Genomic DNA, 19,828 nt, shown 5'->3' with positions numbered 1-19,828 from the left:
GTCTATAACATATAAAGTGTTATACATTTATGTACAGTACAAAGGAGTACAAAGGAGGTGTGTGGGAGCAAAGCCATATGGAAATGAAGATGTGAAATCAAATGGTAATCATGATCATTTAAATCTACAGGGACAAATGAAGAGAACCAGAAATGATAAGAGGTTAAAATAAAAAACTGTATAAATACATACTTTCTTTTCTCAGTTTCATTAGTAAGCATGAATTATATAAAGCCATAACTTATATTATGACTTTATAACTAAAACTATTATATTTATAACTAAATAGATATATGAATAAAAATAATAGCATATAAAAAGGGAAGAAAGATATGGCTATATAGAAGCTGTATCTCACTAGATATAAGGTAGTATAAATCAAATAGATAACAATAAGATATATATGGTAAATCTGGTATTAACTACTAAGAAAGCAATTTAAAAAACACATGGGAGAATATTAAAGAACAAATCTTACACTAGAAAATATCCATTTAGTGCAGAAAAAGACAGTATAGGAGAGAGAGAAACAAAAAATATATGATCATATAGAAAATTTTGAGTACAAATAGTATAAAATCGTCAATGATGGTACTGAGGGTCAAGGTAGGAGCCCTCAACTGATGTAAATCAATGCTACATGGTTTATATATCTGTTTCTATGTCAGTACCATACTGTTTTGATTATTGTAGCTTTGTAAAATATTTTGAAGTAAAGAAATGTGATGCATCCAGCTCTTTGTTATTTTTTTCCGAAGATTGTTTTGGCTATATTGAGTATCCATGAGTCCATATCAATTTTAGGATTCTTTTTCTATTGTTGTAAAAAATGCCATTGAGATTTTTAGAAATTACACTGAACTGACTCTGTATATCACTTTGGATAACATAAACATTTAACAATACTAATTTTTCCAATCTGTGAAGATGGGAAGTCATTTCATTTAACTGTTTTCTTTAATTATCTTCTTCAAAGTTTTATAATTTTCAGTGTCCAGGTCTTCCACATCTTTGTTTGAGTTTATTCCTAAGCATTCTATTATTATTGTTGTCCTTATTGATAGATTCAAGGTCTTCATTTTCTTGTCAATTATTCCAGTGTTTTTGTATAGAAAGTGCCAGTTAATACTTTACATTTGGTTATTGGTTTTTGATGTTAGATTCAAACTCACTGTTAGATTTAAAACATTATCCTTATTATTTTCTAGCTTTTGTATATATGAATAAGTCACTTTCATAACTTAGCTTAATTCCTATTACTGTATATGAATATTACTTCAGGATGGCTACCTATTCATCAGAAAATTCATGCTATCATGGCAATTTTTCTATGATTTATTCAGTTTGCTATAGTTCTACAATTGGGCTTGTTATTAAAATACACCGACAAATTATAAACAAAAATATAATACATTTTATTCATACAAAAATCATATTAATAACTTTATGAGAAACCTTTGTGCTTTTTATTAAAACATTTCTCTCTTTTTGATAAAAAATTATTTTGTAAATGGACTCAATCTGCTCAAAGGTTTTAGAACATTTTTTTCTGCCCCTCCCTAGGCAACAATAGACATAATGTACATTCATAATTTATATGAATCTGCACTTTAATGTCAACTGATTGTATAAAATATAGACTTTTTTTACTTCTTTCAACTAAAATTCTATATTTATCTTTCTTACTCCATAAGCAGTCATGCTCTTTGAGATGATTTTTAGCATCCCTTAAATTAAATTTGTTGTTATTTTAGCACATAATTATTTTTAATTAGGAGTTTATTTTTGAGTTAACTCTCAATCTCATTTACAGCTGTATATGAGACAAATGTCCTCTAACTTTCTCCAGTGTCATGTCAGATAACTGTGCTGCTAATCATTCCATGCTCCAACAGTGATTTTAAAATTTAATTGAGTTTTGGGTCTCGTTATTTGAAACAAACTTCCCAAATACCCATGTACAAAGACAGCAAATCCTAACTGGGTTTTGAATCAATTCTTCCAAGATTTAGTGCACCCATAAGGTATAATACCTTCCACACTGTATTTAAGCACATCATTCAGAAGCAATAATGTCTATCCTTCTCTTTTATTTTGTGTATGAAACTCTGTGTGGTGGTGTGATCCACATAGTCCAAGCAGTGCTGAACACTGGAAGCAGCAACAATATCCTATCCCCTAACTGCATTTACTGTTAAGTGTAGATGTTTATGCATTCATGTATCTTTGATGGAGTGAAGGCTCTGAGATGATTGTTTGCAGCCACATTAGGGAAATCGGTGGAGACAGGGAATGGCATGATAGGAAGGAGGCTGTGACTCAACTGTTTCAGAGACCATGACTCCTGCAGAGAGAGCTGCAGGTGATGTGGTAGGGATCATGTTTACATAAAGCTGGTGACACTCTAAGCCTAAGCTATAATGCCTCAGGGCCAACCTGGAAAACAAAAGTACAAGCTCACACTGAGAACCATGTTCTGCATTCCTTACTTCTGAACTGGTCCCAGCACAAACAACATAGGCTGGTGCAGCATCATAGAGGCTGAGTGTCCATAGATGACAGTGGTCAGTGACTCCTTCCAAAGCCTGTTTGTTGTTAATGGATTTCTAAGAAAAGGCTAGGGCTGATTTATGGGCACTGTCTTGTTCCTGGGTACATGAAAGCCTATTTCTATGTAATTTAAAAATAACTCAGGAAGTCATTGAATCTGTGAGTAGGGAGATTGTAGTTAGAAGGTGAAATTTTACAATTACAATGGAGGAAGACTGAAGTCCTGAAGATATATGCATTTTAAAGCTAATGGCCAAATGGAATTTGAATATTAATTATAATATAAGCATGTAAGAACAAAAAAGACCCAGAGAATGATAAGGACTGTAAAACTCTAGTTTACAAGACAAAAACAAAAATCAACAAAAAGAGTTTTTAGAGCTGCTATATGTCATTTTCCTGAGTATTAAATTATTTTGAAGAGAAACAATTGCATCAATCAAAAGCTACCCCTCTGCAGTTTGGAAGGAATTGGCTAACTATTTACTCTCTTGAGTCCAAAGAACAGTTGGAGGAAACAATTTTGCACCCTTGTGAATTTCATTCCAGTCTTGCTCACATACTTGCTCAATATGTTTTTGTTGACAGATGAAGTGACTGGCAGATGTAACAAGCGACTTCTATGTTCTTTCTAGTTATTAAGGTTTTTTCTTTTCATTTTATTTTTTCTTCCTTTTTGTTTTTCTAAGTAGAATAATTTTATTTGGATGAAAAGCACTCATGGCAGCAAAAAAATCTATGGGGATATTCAAAGTGTTTGAATAACATATGGTGTGCTTGGATATATAAAACAAATCTAAATGTTTGCAAAGAGCTTCGTATTTCCAAATTTCGAATGATACTAGAATTTACTCAAATTTATTTCATATAAATTATCACATAGTAGATGTGATATATTTTGAAAGTTTACAGTATATGCCTTACAAAATAAATTAGAGGGAGATTTTCATTTCAGAGATGTATTGCAACTTACAAGATAGTAGATACCAAATCAACCATAAAATACCAGCCTGCCTGGCCAGGTTGGAAAATATTCAGTGTTACACAGAATGCACTTAAACATTACTTCTTTGTAAAAAAAATAAAATAAAGTAAAAAATACTTTTTTGTTCAGGTAAATGCTAAAATTTTATTATGCACCAGGATTTCCTGAGCCACTACAGCATGGCAAAGACCCGCTAATGCAAAATAAAGTGCACCCAGCTAGAGATAGTGACAAGTGGTAGCGGTACACAGAGATATGCCAGTGTGTCTGGGAAGTAACTGGGCGTATCGTGTGCAGAATTTATTGAATGAGGCAGGTACGGCTTAGTCCCTCTTTAAAGGACTTTCTTAGCCTTACTAAGCAAATAAAATTATTTGTAATTATTATTACAAAGCAGAGGATATAAAAAAAAGAAAACAATTCAGAGAAGTGATAGAAGATAATGATCAAAGACTTTAACTTATTTCAGACCTTAGTAAGGGGTCCGTGAAATCTCAAGCATACATACAGATTAGTGCATGTGTGTGAGTATTTAAACTATTCGGTAGGCTCCATGATGAGGTTTTAGTCATTTCCTGCTGATACTTTTGTTGGTATTTCAGTCTAGATAAAAATTATGTCAGGATACTTTTAAACTAGATACGTGGACCAGAACCAGGAGGTGGAGATGAGACTCAAAAGTATACAAATGGCAATTGCAATCATGATTCTGGGTACAAGAGCAAGAAAATCTCATAAGTGCAGACCTTCAAAATGAATACTTTTACCCTTATTCCATGCTCCTTTGTGAGTTTAAGACAATGTTGTTTCCTCATGCTTTAGAAAGTCATTTTCCATGAGTAATAATTTTAGATTATCATAAAACAATACATTTCATTTTTTGGAAATCATTTTATACTATTGTAAAACAAGACAAACTCAATTATTTGGAATACATTATTTATACATGCATGTATATAATAAATTGGCATGTTCTAAAACCTGACTATCTTTTCTTAGCCATCTTATGCTAGGTAATTACTCTTCCTCCTTCCTTTTATTCTTTAACTATTTACACACTGTTGACAATTACTTGTTCAACCTTGCTTACTGTTTTCAGCATGTTTACATCAGTATTTGTACATAAATCTGTTTCATTTACTATTATTTCTGTTATATTTTCTGAATTCCTCACATTTTCTATGCTTTTCTTATGAGCTTTTTTACTCTCCCAATGCATCCCTTGAGTGTTGCCTGAACAGGTACTGCAGTTCCTGATCCTCATGGGAATAATTTCTTAGTAGTTTCCTTCATTCCCATATCCTACTTTGTGATATGCTCATGAAACTTGACTTTTTAAAAAAAATATTGAAACAGAACCAATTATTTTCAAATATAATTTTACTTCCAGATAATGAGGGTAATTGGATTTTAAACAATATTGTTAATACTATCTCCTAATTTTCTGTAATTAGGTTAACTATAGTTGTATTTTCTATAGACTCAATATATAAATTTTACCAGTTTCAGTTCATTTTTCAACAGACTTTTATTTCACTAAAATGTTAATAAGATACTAATTTAATTCACCAAACTTTTCAAAAATGTTATTTAAAGATAGTTTACAAAGAAGGCCATTTATTTTCTTTTTTGTCTTTTATTTATTACTTTTATTTTCCCACAGGTTATTGGGGTACAGGTGGTATTTGGTTACATAAGCTCATTAGTGGAGGTTTGTGAGATTTTGGTGCACCCATCAACCGAGAAGTATACGCTGCACCCAATTTGTAGTATTTTATTCCTTGTCTCCCTCCCCCCACTTCCACCCAAGTCCCCGAAGTCCATTGTATCATTCTTACAGAAGGCCATTTATTTTCCTCACAGGGACTCAGATATCTTTTTTCCAGGTCACCAGTTTAGTAATGTGTCATATTTCATGATTATTTTCCTTAAAATGTTAAAGATTATGCTACTTTGAAAATTTCTAAATTTTCTAAGTGATTTTGTGTATTTTATAAATTTATTATTTAAGAAGCTCACTTATTTTACTTTTACTTTTTTTTGATTGCTCAACAGCCTCTCAATTAAACTTGTTTCTCTATTTTTCAGTAGGATATTAATACTTAAACTGTACCATTTGTTGAGTATGATGTCTTAAATTATATTTCTCATATTCTGATTTAGTTTAAATGGATCTATGTTACGTTGTTTCAAGTGTTTTAAATATTTTATAAGTTATCCAGAACAAAATTGAAATGCTACCTATAATCTAGGATATTAATTTTTAGGTCTCATATTCAAGTCATTTTTAATCTGTTTTAACTTTTGTTCATATAGTTTGAATTTTCAAATCTCCTAGAAGTGAGTGTTTTGATGTTTATTTTTCACTGTCCTGCCCTAAAGGTGTTCTGCATTGCCAAGTTCAGTATCATCTAATTCAAATTTTTGTTTTCCATTCTGTATTTTCAAATTTTGGTCCATGATAAGCTAAAGTCAGGAAGTCTTCAGACATGGAAAACTGCTGTTTCAATCATTACCGTTTATGCATAAGCGGACTTACTTTTCATGTTATGCTAATATAAGTCTTTCTGTCACATAAACTAATAATAATTGCCAAGAATTCGCACTGAAAAAAAAAACTATATTATTTTCTTACCTGTAGCTGATTTAATGTTAAAACAAAGTTGAATCCAAAATGTGGAAAGTGTAAATTCATACAGGTTTGTTTTCGGTTTGTATTTACTTTTTATTTTTTGTTTTCTTTTAAACATGAAAGGCTGTTTTGAATTTAAATTATGTATTTTTCTTTATGATCTGGCTTTATTTTTATATGTTTGCTAGTTTTTTCCTTATGTTTGTAAATTTTGTTCTTGTAGATTGCCACAGTTTAGTTATATATAATACCTATTTTTTATTTATGTAAAAATGACATGCAACTGTGAATCATAAGATTGCAGGAATGGAATAATAATGAACTAATTTGCAGTGAAGTGGACTCATTATCATGCCAGCTGCTGGTATTTTCCCACCCAGTATTCTTCCTGGCAAACAAGGTCCCAGGGGGAAAGTCTTCCGTCTGGCTAAGGAAAATAGTCCTTTACTTTAGAAATCTCTTTAAATCTGATAATCATTACTTTAAAGTAATAATAATTTTTTAAATTATATACTTGTTTTTCCAATGGCAGCTGTTTCTTTATGGAGTCTATATTATATATATATGAATATATATATTCATTACCTTAATATGCCTTGTTATAATGCTGTTTTATTTTTGGTTAAACATTACATATAAATTACATGTAAAACATAAATTTCCAGAAGATACATGTAATTTCGTATATTAGCCTTATAGAATAAGAACCATCAATTTCAATTGGTAATACAATAAATTATATAGTATATGGGCAAATTCAGATTTTATGTAGATACATTATGTGTGTATATATATATATATATATATATATATACACACACACATGTAGATGCATATATGTTCTTGGGTTTATTTTGACATTTCAAAAATTACTGCAACCTCTAAACAAGAAAATAGCAGTCTATTATTCTTTTTACATATGTGTGGTTAAATACTCATCTTAAATCCTCTTAATGAGAAATACTTGCTAAATAATCATACAAATATGGTAACAACACTATGTAAATAATGCAGCTTATTTTCTTTTGCATTTTATTTTAATATGCATGTTCTTGAGCGCATTTGGCATTAGCTCTGCCTTTAATTTTCAGTAGCCTAGAGGAAAAACTAAATTGATGAACTTTCATATTTCTTTAAGCTATGTAAAACCCAATTATTGTCATCAACACAAGCTGCTATTATGTGGTCATTAAACTCTTTTGTTACTCAAAATTCTCTCTAAAATAAATGTGCCACCTACATTCTAAAATATTTTTGAATACATTTAAAGCATGATTATAACAAAGTATCTGAGCTCTTCTATTTTGTATGAACCTTAAATAATGTTTTGGTTCTTTCTAGTCCTTTTTCTCACTTGCCACAGTGTTCCACAATATCTGAGGAAATAAGATCTTCTTAAAATAAAAATAAGAATTACAAAATTTTCCTATCTTTAGATAAATATAAAAGCCCATATTTTGAAAGACTGTTGACACATTTAGAAATATAATAGCATAGTCATCATAGAGAGTTGAAAGTGATTGTTTAAATTTGCCCTGATACACTGAGAACAATATTTTTCTTAAATTCAATGGCTTTGATAGAAAGTATTTTCATGCATTTATCAGAATTTAAAATGCTACTTGGGGAAATGCAGAGTGCTAGAACAAGTTTAAAATGTAGCATGACATCTTCAATTACACACAATCAATTGACTACTCACTTCTTCAAGTTAAATTTGTCTCAGGATATGTCCATACTGTAATAAAATACTTCTACGCTTCAAATTAAAAAGGGCATGTTTTGTTTTGTTTTCTTAACTGAACAATATTGATATTTTAATCACCTAATAATTAAATTTTCATTTTTATCCGACTTATTGGAATCCTGTAAACCAATTTTCCAAAAAAAGGACTTAGTAAAGGGAAAATATGAGCAGTTATATAAAAGCTGGCATTTTAAGCTAATAACCTGTTTAGTTTAAATGAGTCTATTTCACACATTATTTTCTTTCTCATGTCTTATTTTTTATAAAGTACTGATTCCCTAGGAGAGCAAAATTAATTTATACAGAGCATCCACTTTTGAATATGAAGTAAACTATTTTTAAATAATTAGCTCAAACCATAAGGTGGTGCAGTGTGAGTGATACCTGTGGGTGTGCCAGTTGTAGAATGCCGGTGCCAATCTGCAAGAGATAATTTAGCAGTAGGAGCATCTGGCTCCTTGGCAAGCTCGTTAGGCATTTTTCTTGGCACCAGTTAGTTACCTCTATGTTGATCACTTGATAATACATTTTAAAAGGTCTATGGATTATTTAGCTAACATTTAAGCAGTGCTTATTCTTCTTTTTTCTTTTTAATCAATGTGGTTCTCATCGGGTCAAATGCAGTATATTAGTGTGTATGAGAGAGAGAGAGAGAGAGAGAAGGAGGGAGAGAGAGGGAGGGAGGGAGGGAGAGAGAGATAAATCTAAATACTTAAGAGCTTTACTAATAGTCTGAAACAGAAAACACTTTAAGGTTGTATTATTGTAGAAGAGTGTTCCCTAAAAATGTACCACAATGAAACACTATTCTAAACTGAGATATAAAATATACCTTTAAAAAGTTTGTCAAATTATATATATTGAATAACAAATACAATGTTGAAGTATCACACTACCAAACTTAGGTAGGAAAAAACAAAACAGAAAACCACAGTATGGATTCCTGGTTGATACATGGTTTCTATCTATCATAATTAATTTAACAGAGACAGATCAAATTAGTTTCGTTGTAAGAAAATCTCAGTGGAATAAAGTAACAGTTGGTGCAAAGAAGTTATTTCAGTTGCACAGACATGGTTAATTCTCTTGCAAAGCTTTTCCAAATAGCCTTACTTTAAATTAGATATGATATTTCCACTTTTTCGTGCAGAAGTGCTAATTTCAGTCTTTATAGAGGAGTTTGCCTTTTGGAGAATAAAAATTTTGATTAAGCGTTTGACATTCAAAAAGTTCCACCATAGTTTATATTCATATACAGTTATACTTATAAATAAGTGAATGTTTATCTAGTTAGGTATATACATATGATTTAGAATGAATTATAGGCCAATTTCTTCCTCTCACCCTGTATCCAGGCACAGTGCCATGAAATCTCTTGCCTAAAGGTGAAACTTTCTTCCTCAACTCTTGACTTGGGGATTAGCCACTGACTTGCTTGGGCCAAAGAGATGTTAAGAAACCTAATGCAAGTAGGAATTTGAACTGTGCTTGTGCAGCCTGGTTGTCCTCTTACATCATGGTCATTGTCATGAGAAGAGCTTCACCTGACCCCTAGTAGAATGCAGTGGGCAAGTCCACAACTAACCAACCAGCTGGAGGCTACAAAAGCAGAGACACCCCAGCTGACACAAAGATTCATGAGAAATAAACCGCTTATCGTACACCACTGAAAGCCTGTGGTAGGCCCACAGTAACTGCTGATTGATATAATATATTTTACATTTACTTTGTGCTTAGAATAATTGTTGCATATTCTTAAACTTAAACCAATATAGTTAATACTCCCCAATTGGCCCTATTAATATAATATCTATCTATAAACTTTATATGATTTTTATATATACTTGGGTTGGGAACATCTTTTTTAGCAAAAAAGGGAAAATGTAAGTCACAGAAAGCAGGGTAAACATTAAATCATGAAAGTAAAAAAAATGGGCAAATGTTTGTATAACTTTTTATTTTGATAGAAGAATTGAAATCACCCCAATAGTTCCATAGACAGTTTTTTTTTTTCTAATAAACATAGAAATTGACCTTTCTTATCTTAAAGCTTGAATCTTCCATTTGTTTTATCTGGGTTTCTTCCTCAGGAAAGGACCTCTCGGCCTCTCAAAAAAAAAAAAAAAAAATCAAAGAACTGACAGTCTCCAGATGACCATATCTAGACAATGAGATGTCAGATCCCTCATTCATCATGATTCTTTCCTTGCTCCTCCCTAGTTCCTGTTTTTTTTACACACTGCTACATTTCTTCCTGGGTATATAAACCCCTAGTTTTAGTGGTCAGATAAATGGGTTTGAGGCAGATCTCCCACCTCCTCGACTGCAGCACCTGGTGAAAGCCTCCATCCTTGGCAATAATCATCTCAGTGATTGGCTTTCTCTGTGGCAAGCAGCAGGACCTAGACTGAACCGCTGATGTTTTGGTAACAGAATCACAGAAAATCACACATGTGTAATACACATAAGAAAGGACTCATAAAAATAAATGTGAAATGGTGAAAAGCTAATATGCTATTAGCTTTTACAAATAGTTAAGTCATAATTAAAAGTCAAATTAATGAAAATTAGTAAAGATTCTGAATAAGCAGTTCATTAAAAAAGGAAATTCAATGGTCAATGAAGTTCAAACAACTATTGGACTTCAATAACAGAAGGAAGTATGTGACTTGTTCACCATCCTATTGACATTAATAAAAATCAATTATTATTGATAATGTTTAAGAAGGCAATAGTGTGGGAGAGTGTGCTATTTGGAATGTGAATTGTGGACAACTTCCCAGAAGTGGCATATAATTTAATAAAGAAAAGGAAAACAGAGTACACCTTTCTTCCACAGTACCATTGTTAGTGGAAAAAAATATGTGTGTGTACCCACACATACACATATATATATTTATTTGCAGTATAATGATGAAAACTGGAAGTAGATTGATGTTCACCAGTAGGATAATAATTGCATAATTTATGTTCAAAAGTACATCATGCAAATATTTTTTTAAAATCCATATTTTTATATAATCTGAAATTTTACCCATTATATATTAAGTAAAAATCATTACTGTGTAATATATATATATAATTTTATTTTTATATAAAAACAGAAGTGAATAATTTCTTTTTATATTGATATATGTATATTCTCATATAGTAATATCAGCACAGACAGATACTGAAGGATTGATATGAAATATTTAATGTTCTAACGTTCTGTGGGTTTCTTTTGAGGGGAGAGGAACAACTTGCTAGGTTTCTCTCTGCATATTCCAACTGCATTGCTACAACAGGGTAGTACGGTCTTATATTTACAGTTCAAATAACAGTTCCAATTGACAAAATCATCTTTTTGTGATAAATTCTGACTTCCAATTCTGTAAATTGATTTCAGCAGTATGGCCACTTTAATACTAATTTTTACACTCCATGAAAATGGACTGTTTTTCCATTTACTTGTGCTGTCTCTGTACACAGCTAGGCATTGTACAGTAATGGAAAAAGATGAAAAAAGGTGAAATACGAAATAAATCTCCACCTCAGGTAGAGTGAATGGTCTCAGGGGTTCTTGTCATGTCAATTGCTCTTGACTTTGTGCGTTTTATTACTTACATCCTATTCATCTTGCAAATCCTAGACCAATGGAATTTTTTCAGTCCCATTTCTACATCTTTTGTTTCCTTCAGCAACTGTTTTCTTCAATTTTTTGTTCTGTTGTCAGAAAAACTGAGTTGAATGCTAAATAATTTTCAAATCAACATTATCACCATTTTATCTACTAAATTGCTAAAAGCTTGAGGACTGGGGTACACTTGTACTTTATTTCTCTGTTAATCACAAGATGAAGCACGTTGACCAGTCTGAAAAAGGCACTTGTAAACATTTTCTGATGATTGTTTGGTTTATTTGTATTGCTAGTACTAATTAATCAAGAATCTCCTTTAAAAAACTTCTCTTAATGACTTTCTCAGCTTTTCCTGTAATGTGATGCTAAAATAGCTTTAATTCATTTTCTGAAATAATAAATAGGAATATAAAATCACAAAATTTAATATCCCAAATGAATTATCAAGTCAAGTTCTAGGCCTACAAAAATATAATATTTAAACACTAAAAATAAGTGTTGTTTTTATTAGAGTAATTTTTTAAAATTTCAACTTTAATTTAGATATACAGGATACATGTGTAGGTTTATGACATGAGTATATTGCACAATAGATAGTTGAAAAACTGTCAAATCACACCCTCCTACCTCCTTCTCCCCTCTAGTAGTCTGCAGTGCCCATTGTTCCCATGTTTATGTCCATATGTGCTCAATATTCAGCTTCCACTTATAAGTGAGAATATGTGGCATTTGGTTTTCTCTTCCTGAGTTAGTTTACTTAGGATTATGGCTTCTAGCTGCATTAATGTTGCTGCAAAAACATAATTTCAGTCTTTTTTATCACTGCATAATATTCTATGGTGTTTAAGTGTCATATTTTCTTCACCGAGTTGACCATTGATGGGCACCTACTTGAATCCATGCTTTTGCTATTGTGAGTACTGTGGCTGTGAACATGTGAGGACATGTGTCTTTTTGATACAATGATCTATTTTCCTTTGGGTACATATCTAGCAATGGGATCAATGGGTCAAATGGTAGATCTTTTTCATGTTCTTTGAGAAATCTCGAAACTACTTTCTGCAGAGGCTGAACTAATTTACATTCCTATCAACAGTGTACAAGTGTTTCTTTTTCTCTGAAGCCTTGCCAGCATCTGGTGTTTTTTGACTTTTTTGGTAATATCCGTTCTGACAGGTTTGGAATGACATCTCACTGTGGTTTTGATTTGCATGTCTTTGATAATTAGCGGTGATTAACATGTTTTTCACATCTGTCTTGACCAATCATATGTCTTCTTTTGAGAAGCGTCTGTTCGTGTCTTTTGCCCGTTTTTAATGGGGTGTTTTTTGCTGGTTGATGTGTCTAAATTCCTTATAGATTCTGAATATTAGACTTTTGTTGGAAGCACAGTTTACATATATTTTCTCCCACTCTGTAGGATGTGTATTTACATTATTGATAGTTTCTTTTCTTATCCAGAAGCTGTTTAGGTTAATTAGGTCCCGCTTGTCCATTTTTGTGTTGCAATTGCTTTTGTGGACATAGGCAAAAATTACATGTCAAGGCCACTGTTGAGAAGGGTAGTTCCTAGGTTTTCTTCCAGTATTTCTATAGTCCAAGGTCTTACTTTTAAATTTTTATCCACTTCGAGTATCTTTTGTATATAGTGAGAGGTGAGAGATCAGTTGAATTAATCACCATATGGCTAGCCACTTGTCTCAGAACCATTTATTGTATAGAGCATCCTTTCCCTATTCTTATTTTTGTCAGCCTTGTCAAAGATCAGATGATTATAAGTGTGTGGTTTTATTTCTAAGATTTCTATTATGTTCCATTGGTCTATGTGTCTGTTTTCATACCAATATTATGCTGTTTTGGTTATTATAGCCTTATAGTATGGTTCAAAGTGGGGATATAGCAAGGTTAAATTGTGTATACAAATTATATTTGATAAGTTGAAGAACCAGATGCTTGCCAAACCCATATAACGTCAAAGTTCTAGTGTCTCTTAAGACTTCACTCTCAGAATACCATCTCTTCACTCCTATCCTAGTAGTCTGAAGGAAAATTAAAACATTCATATATACACACAAACCTATGTATACACATGAACAAGCACACAAAACAACAGCAGCGAAACTTGACCCAGGGCATAATTGAAAACTTTAAGATACATAATATTTAAATTTATAACAGTGTTTTTAACCTTCTTAACCCTGGATACACATTATATTCACCTAGGCAGTCTCAAAAAAATAGCTAGGTCTGGTTCCCCTGACAGACCAAATCACATCAAAATCTCAAAGATGCAGTCATCATTAAGAATTGTTCAGGGTAATAAAGGGATGCCATTTATGTCACAGTATATTTTTTTCTGGTAATAACTTGCTGAACAGAAGTTTATTCCTTAAATAGAATATATTTTATCCACAATCTAAAAGTGTTTTGCCTTCTTTTCTTATTAATTTCCCTGTCCTTTAATTACCTATTTTTCCCATTCTAAGGGGAGCCTTCTTGAATGAGAGCTGCTCTCTTTGTTGTGACTGAAATAATCTTTGGATCAGAGTTCCCCTATGCTTCACAACATTATACATGTCAATCCTCTTAGTCTAAATGTTATTTCTCACCTGGCTTGGAATCAAGCTTGCTAGAGCCCTAACTCCCTTGGCATGGAGCATTTTACAGATACACATGTTAATAATCATTCTTTTACACAGCTGGGGCTAGTATTCATATATTTCCCAGAACTACACTGAGTCTCAAATGTCCCTTTATTCAGTACCACATTATTTACAAGTAATGTGAAGGCCCCCAATGAAAGTATCCAGCTTGTCTTCCTCTTTGTTGATATCTTTTTAAATCTCTAGCTCTAGTGCCTAATAGGAACTTAACAAGACTTTGATGAATGAATTAATGATTAAAAGTTATACATTTTAATTGTATTTATCTTTGCTGTTCATCCTGAATTGTCCTGTTCAGCCATTATCTGTTATCAATGACATTAAGATTAGTAGCTGAAGTTGTGATTGAAACTGAAATGTACTCAAGAATATTGTAAGTGACATGGAGGGCTTTGTTTTACAAACCTTTACCAAAGTGTACTTGCAAAAATGTAGAAAAAATGCACTGTGTAGATTAGTGCAGGCCAATATTTCTTTTTAGAACTTTGGGAAAAAAAGTTACATTTGATCATCAGTGTTGATTTCTCCAGCTTAAATACTGCTTCCTTTCGTCTCTGTTTATTGTTTTTATTTTCTTTTTCCGTATTTATTTGTATCGGATAATCATCATTTATTCTCTGTTCTTTTAAAAACACAAACATTAAAAATGACATGCAATGTCTTTTGGGACCTGCTCAATATTTACTATAGTATCTTTTCCATATTGTCTGTAATATGGTCATCCAGTTTTGATTAAAATTCAAATAATTTAAAATACTTTATTTAATTATTTTTTTTGTCTTCTCTTTTCTTCTTCCCCTTGTCCTTCCCCTTTTGTCATGACTTTCCTCCCTTCTCTTCTACTTTTTTCTGTATTGGCCTCTGTGTCTGATTAATGACTGATTCCTAATTTCTTGAATATTCATTTATTAAATAATTAAGGCATTTATTTTTGAGGTAATATATATGTAAAGAATGACTATCCATTAGGCACTACTGCCAGTTCTAGGGTAATGCAACTCTAATATAAAGTGAGAAGGGAGGAAGGAAAAAAAAACATTAGGTAAGACAAGAATAAAATATATTATTTTTATTTTTTCCTAAACTTTGCACAGTGTTCACCCTTTTAAAACTTCATCCTGCTGCAAATGCACAGTTTAATATATACCGCTATGGCCTTGACTGCTGGTCCTACCTGCGAACATAAAACTAGCAAATCCATCTATGAATAACATCCAAAACCTCTCTCCTATTGATGGACCAAATGTTTGCTTCCTCAACAAATTCACATATTGAAACCTTAACCACGAATGTGATCGTATTTGGAGATGGACTTTGGAGAGCTAATTAGGTTTAGATCAGGTCATGAGGGTAGGGTTGCCATGGTGGATTAATGTTTTCATAACAATAGGAAAAAAGAGCAGCACTTTCTCTCCCATCACAATGTGAGGACTCAGTAAGAAGGCAGCTGTCTGTCTGCAAGCCAGAACAAAGGCTCCAATGAAAACTAAATCAGCCTGAACCTTGATCTTAGACTTCCCAGCCTTCAAAACTATGAGAAATAAATGTTGTATAAACCACCAAGCCAACGGTATCTTGTTATAGCAGCCCAAACTAAGACAACTATCATCAAAATAATTTTAAAAAATAAGTAAAACACAACCCAGGACTATATGTACCCTTGGAATATGTCTTCATATACTTTTTAATAGAAGAGAACTTCATCCACCAGTAATAAACTTAAAGTTTTATTTCATAGCCTTTTATAATTAACAAGAAGCTCGTATCATTCTTTAATTCCCTTTCCAGCAGTTCTCTGGCTAAAGTAGAATAAATCTTTCCATATTGCTTCTTGTCACTCCACCTGCTCCGCTGGCTCACCAATGCATGATGAAGTGGTCATTTATAGTATATGAGTATTAAGTTATAATCAAATGGCTACCAATTGATACTCTCAATTGATCTCTTTATGACCTGTGAATAAAAAAGCAAATAGCTTTCTTCTAATTAATATTCTAGAGCTAATCACTAGATCATCTATGTGTCCCTGAGGTGGTTATCTCTTGATTTATTTTTTTTTTCTTTTTGTAAAAATATCGATGAATCTAAAGTCTCCCAACTGTTTTCAGCTATATAGAATTCTGGAGATTGTTTTTAAACACTCATTCTTTTGTGATCCGTCAAAAGAATAACATTTAGTAATGCCAGCAAGATATGAATCTCCCCAGAGTTAAATGGCTTCAACTTCTTTCTCTCCTACACTCCCTTTTATACTTATTTTCCTAGTATTATCTTTCCATCTTTTAAATTATTTCATTCCCCACATTGAGTGTTGTTTTTAATTCCTCCTTTCTTAAATTTCTTTGCTGTTCTCACTTTGACATCATTTTTTTAATATCGTTTCTTTTCTCTTCATACTTCGTTTTGTCTTTCTCTATTATTTTTCTCCTTGGTTCTAAGTCTCTTTTGTTTTCCTCCTCACTCTCTTTATTTTTTTCTTAACTCATTCAGATGTCTCCCCTGCCCAGTTGTGGATTTTTTTTTATTTTTTTTCTTTCTTTATTACTGGAAGTGTGATTTCTGACTTTTTAGTTGACTCCTGCCTTCTTTCTTTCTCTTCTTATTCTCTTATTCTCAGATTGTCTCACTTTCTTAAACTTTTTCTCTCTTTCATCTTGCTTTCCCCCAAATGGGCACAAAGGTAAATCTGTTTTCTCTTTTGCTTTGTCACCAAGTGGGATATATTAAGATGATTGTGAGATGGAAAATTGTCAATACTTCAAAACATAATAAGGTTCATAGCTCCGTATCACCAGGATTTTTAAAAATCTTAACATGTGAGAGGAAGACAGTATTATGTGATTTAGATTTAAACCAAGAGCAAATAAACCACAAGTAGAAAAAAATATATATTATGTGGGGTCACAAATAATCCCCCTAAAAATGCTCAAATTTGCATAAATTGATCTTTGAGGGGTCCCCTTTGTATGACAACCCTGAGATAATAATTTTGAATGTAACTATAAGATAAGGTGAGGTTATTAAACAGCTTTAGAGCCAACACATATGCCCTGTTTACTACAGTGAAAACTGATACTCATTTCATTCATTAATTAATAACTAGCAGCATGTATAGAGGCAGACATCACTATAGTCCAGCAATTGCTGAACATCTGTGCTGGTTGATAAATTGCCACGACTTCCTAAGTGTTCTGTCATCTCCTCAACCTGTGTGGAGCCCCCCTCACCTGTCTTCACATAAGCCAACAGCTGAAGAATTCATGTGTGGAGCAGCAGGGGCCTCCATGTAACTGTTGCAGTGCCTATTCTAAGTGGACTCTACCAGGCCTGATATTAGTTTGAATTTTACCCTAGAGAACTGGAAATAAAAATGAAATGTGGCCCTTTTTTGTTAAACTCACAATCCAGTGCATGCAATTAGTATACATTAGTGTATATCAAAGTTATGCACAAGTTATATGAAAGCTCAGAGAAAATGTTAACAATATAATCTATATCTTTCACTTTTCACATATAGCACTTCATTTAGTTCTAAAAGAAACCCTCCAGCAGGGCCAGGTCACACTGAGGGGCTGAGGGTTGAGCTGAGCAAATGTGACAATAGATTTTGGGGTAGGTGCCCACTTCCCTTTGCTTTTGCTGTGCTCATTTATGTTTATCTCAGTGAAGAATGGATTATGGAGTGGCATTCCCAGAGCTTAAATAATGTAAGGTTGTGATACATACCGCTGTATTTCCCCCCTGAGGTTCTGGTTTTTTATATTTATATTATTTTTATCATACTTTAATTTCTGGGATACACGTGCAGAATGTGCAGGTTTGTTACATAGGTATACACGTGCCATGGTAGTTTGCTGCACCCATCAAACTGGATCCCTTCCTTACGCCTTATACAAAAATTAACTCAAGATGGATTAAAGACTTAAACGCAAGACCTAAAACCATAAAAATCCTAGAAGAAAACCTAGGCAATACCACTCAGGACATAGGCATGGGCAAAGGCTTCATGACTAAAACAGGAAAAGCAATGGCAACAAAAGCCAAAATTGACAAATGGGATCTAATTAAACTAAAGAGCTTCTGCACAGCAAAAGAAACTATCATAAGAGTGAACAGGCAACCTAGAGAATGGGAGAAAATGTTTGCAATCTATCCATCTGACAAAGGGCTAATATCCAGAATCTACAAAGAACTTAAATAAATTTACAAGAAAAACACAAACAACCCCATCAAAAACTGAGGGTCTATTTTATGTGTGAGTGAATGTTACCAGCTGATGACAATAGTTGAGATTTCTTAAGGTAATATGAGCATCAAGTCATGAAAAAAGAAAATGAATAATTGGAATCGACATTTACAAACTTCTCTACCTCTAGATACATAAATCATTTTTAAAACATAAAAATAAAATTACTAGATTACTAATGTGAAAGTGCATTAAATGGCTACATAAACAGTTTTAAATAAAAGTTACAAAAAATATCAAGATTCACATTACTTATTACAAGTAATGTGAATACTTATAAGATGTCACATTACTTATTATAAATTAATATTAACTGATTAGAACATTTTCTTATAGAAAATATGTTTTTGACCTTTATGTATTTTTTCCTTTATAATGAGATGCTTAGAGAACATTCATATGCTAACATTGGTATAAGAATAATCATTTTATCTCTTTGTTTACCATTTTGTACATAGATTCTAAATAAATACTGACCTTTGAGTTTGGCAGTCATAGTCTCACAACAGCTGGCCCAAGCACGCTGAGATCCATATAAATACACTAGCTAAAGCTCATGGACTATTCTGAAATATTTGCCATACTTAGATTTTTTATTAATGCATTCTACCAGAGTTGCAATGTGATTTTCCTATATCTACCTCACCAAATCTTACTCATTCATCAACACTCAATTTGAATGTCATTTCTTTGCAGAATCTTTATTCTTTCTTGTAGGGCAAAGAGACCTTTCTCTTCAACTCTCTCTGCATTTCGTGCCTGCCTGCCTTCAGGTTCTTATCACATTCAGCTGGGCAGTGTTAGTTGAGTCTATTTCACATCTTCCCTTTTAAACCACTAGCACTTCGAGAACCGGAATTGAGTTATTATTCATTTGCATAAGACAACAGTGCATAACAGAATGTTATGTTCAGAAGAAGTACTTAATACATGATTAATAAACACAGGATCAACAATATTACTTGGCCACAGTCAAGAGGCAGTCTCTTTTTGTTTTTATTTATTTTTATTTTTTTGGTTTCGTAAAAACTACCTGACAGTGTTCGCTGCATCGGATTATAGCTCAGGACGTTGCATACCTAATTGCTCTGCTTGCTGCAAGTACCCTTGAATAGGACTGCATTAAACACTGACTGGAAAAGATAGTGAAATATTAATAATAACCCAAAGGCAAACTGAAGGGGCAATTGGACAAACACAATTTAAAGCATGATTAAGACATTCAGCTAAGCACGTTATACGTTATTAGTTTATTATTTCCTCACATGTGTGAACTTGTTGTCTTAAATTTTAAAAAGGATATTGGCTTATTTTGCAAGAGAGAATCAAATAGTTTATAGATTTAATTATGCATCATTAGCTGTAGGGTCCTTTAGGTTCTTTATC

The 19,828-nt window shown here is 32.4% G+C and overlaps 1 annotated feature.

The window, feature by feature from the left end:
• Window positions 6,200–6,777: an enhancer, noted in NCBI's record as "VISTA enhancer hs947". NCBI's record gives its function as "enhancer in: forebrain[3/6]" and the evidence as "EXISTENCE:transgenic organism evidence [ECO:0001131][PMID:17130149]".

The sequence above is a fragment of the Homo sapiens genome, chromosome 18, assembly GCF_000001405.40.
Source record: "Homo sapiens chromosome 18, GRCh38.p14 Primary Assembly".
Lineage (NCBI taxonomy): Eukaryota > Metazoa > Chordata > Mammalia > Primates > Hominidae > Homo > Homo sapiens.
The sequence above is the reverse complement of the archived record's forward strand: the minus strand, read 5'-3'. Positions and strand labels throughout refer to the sequence as shown.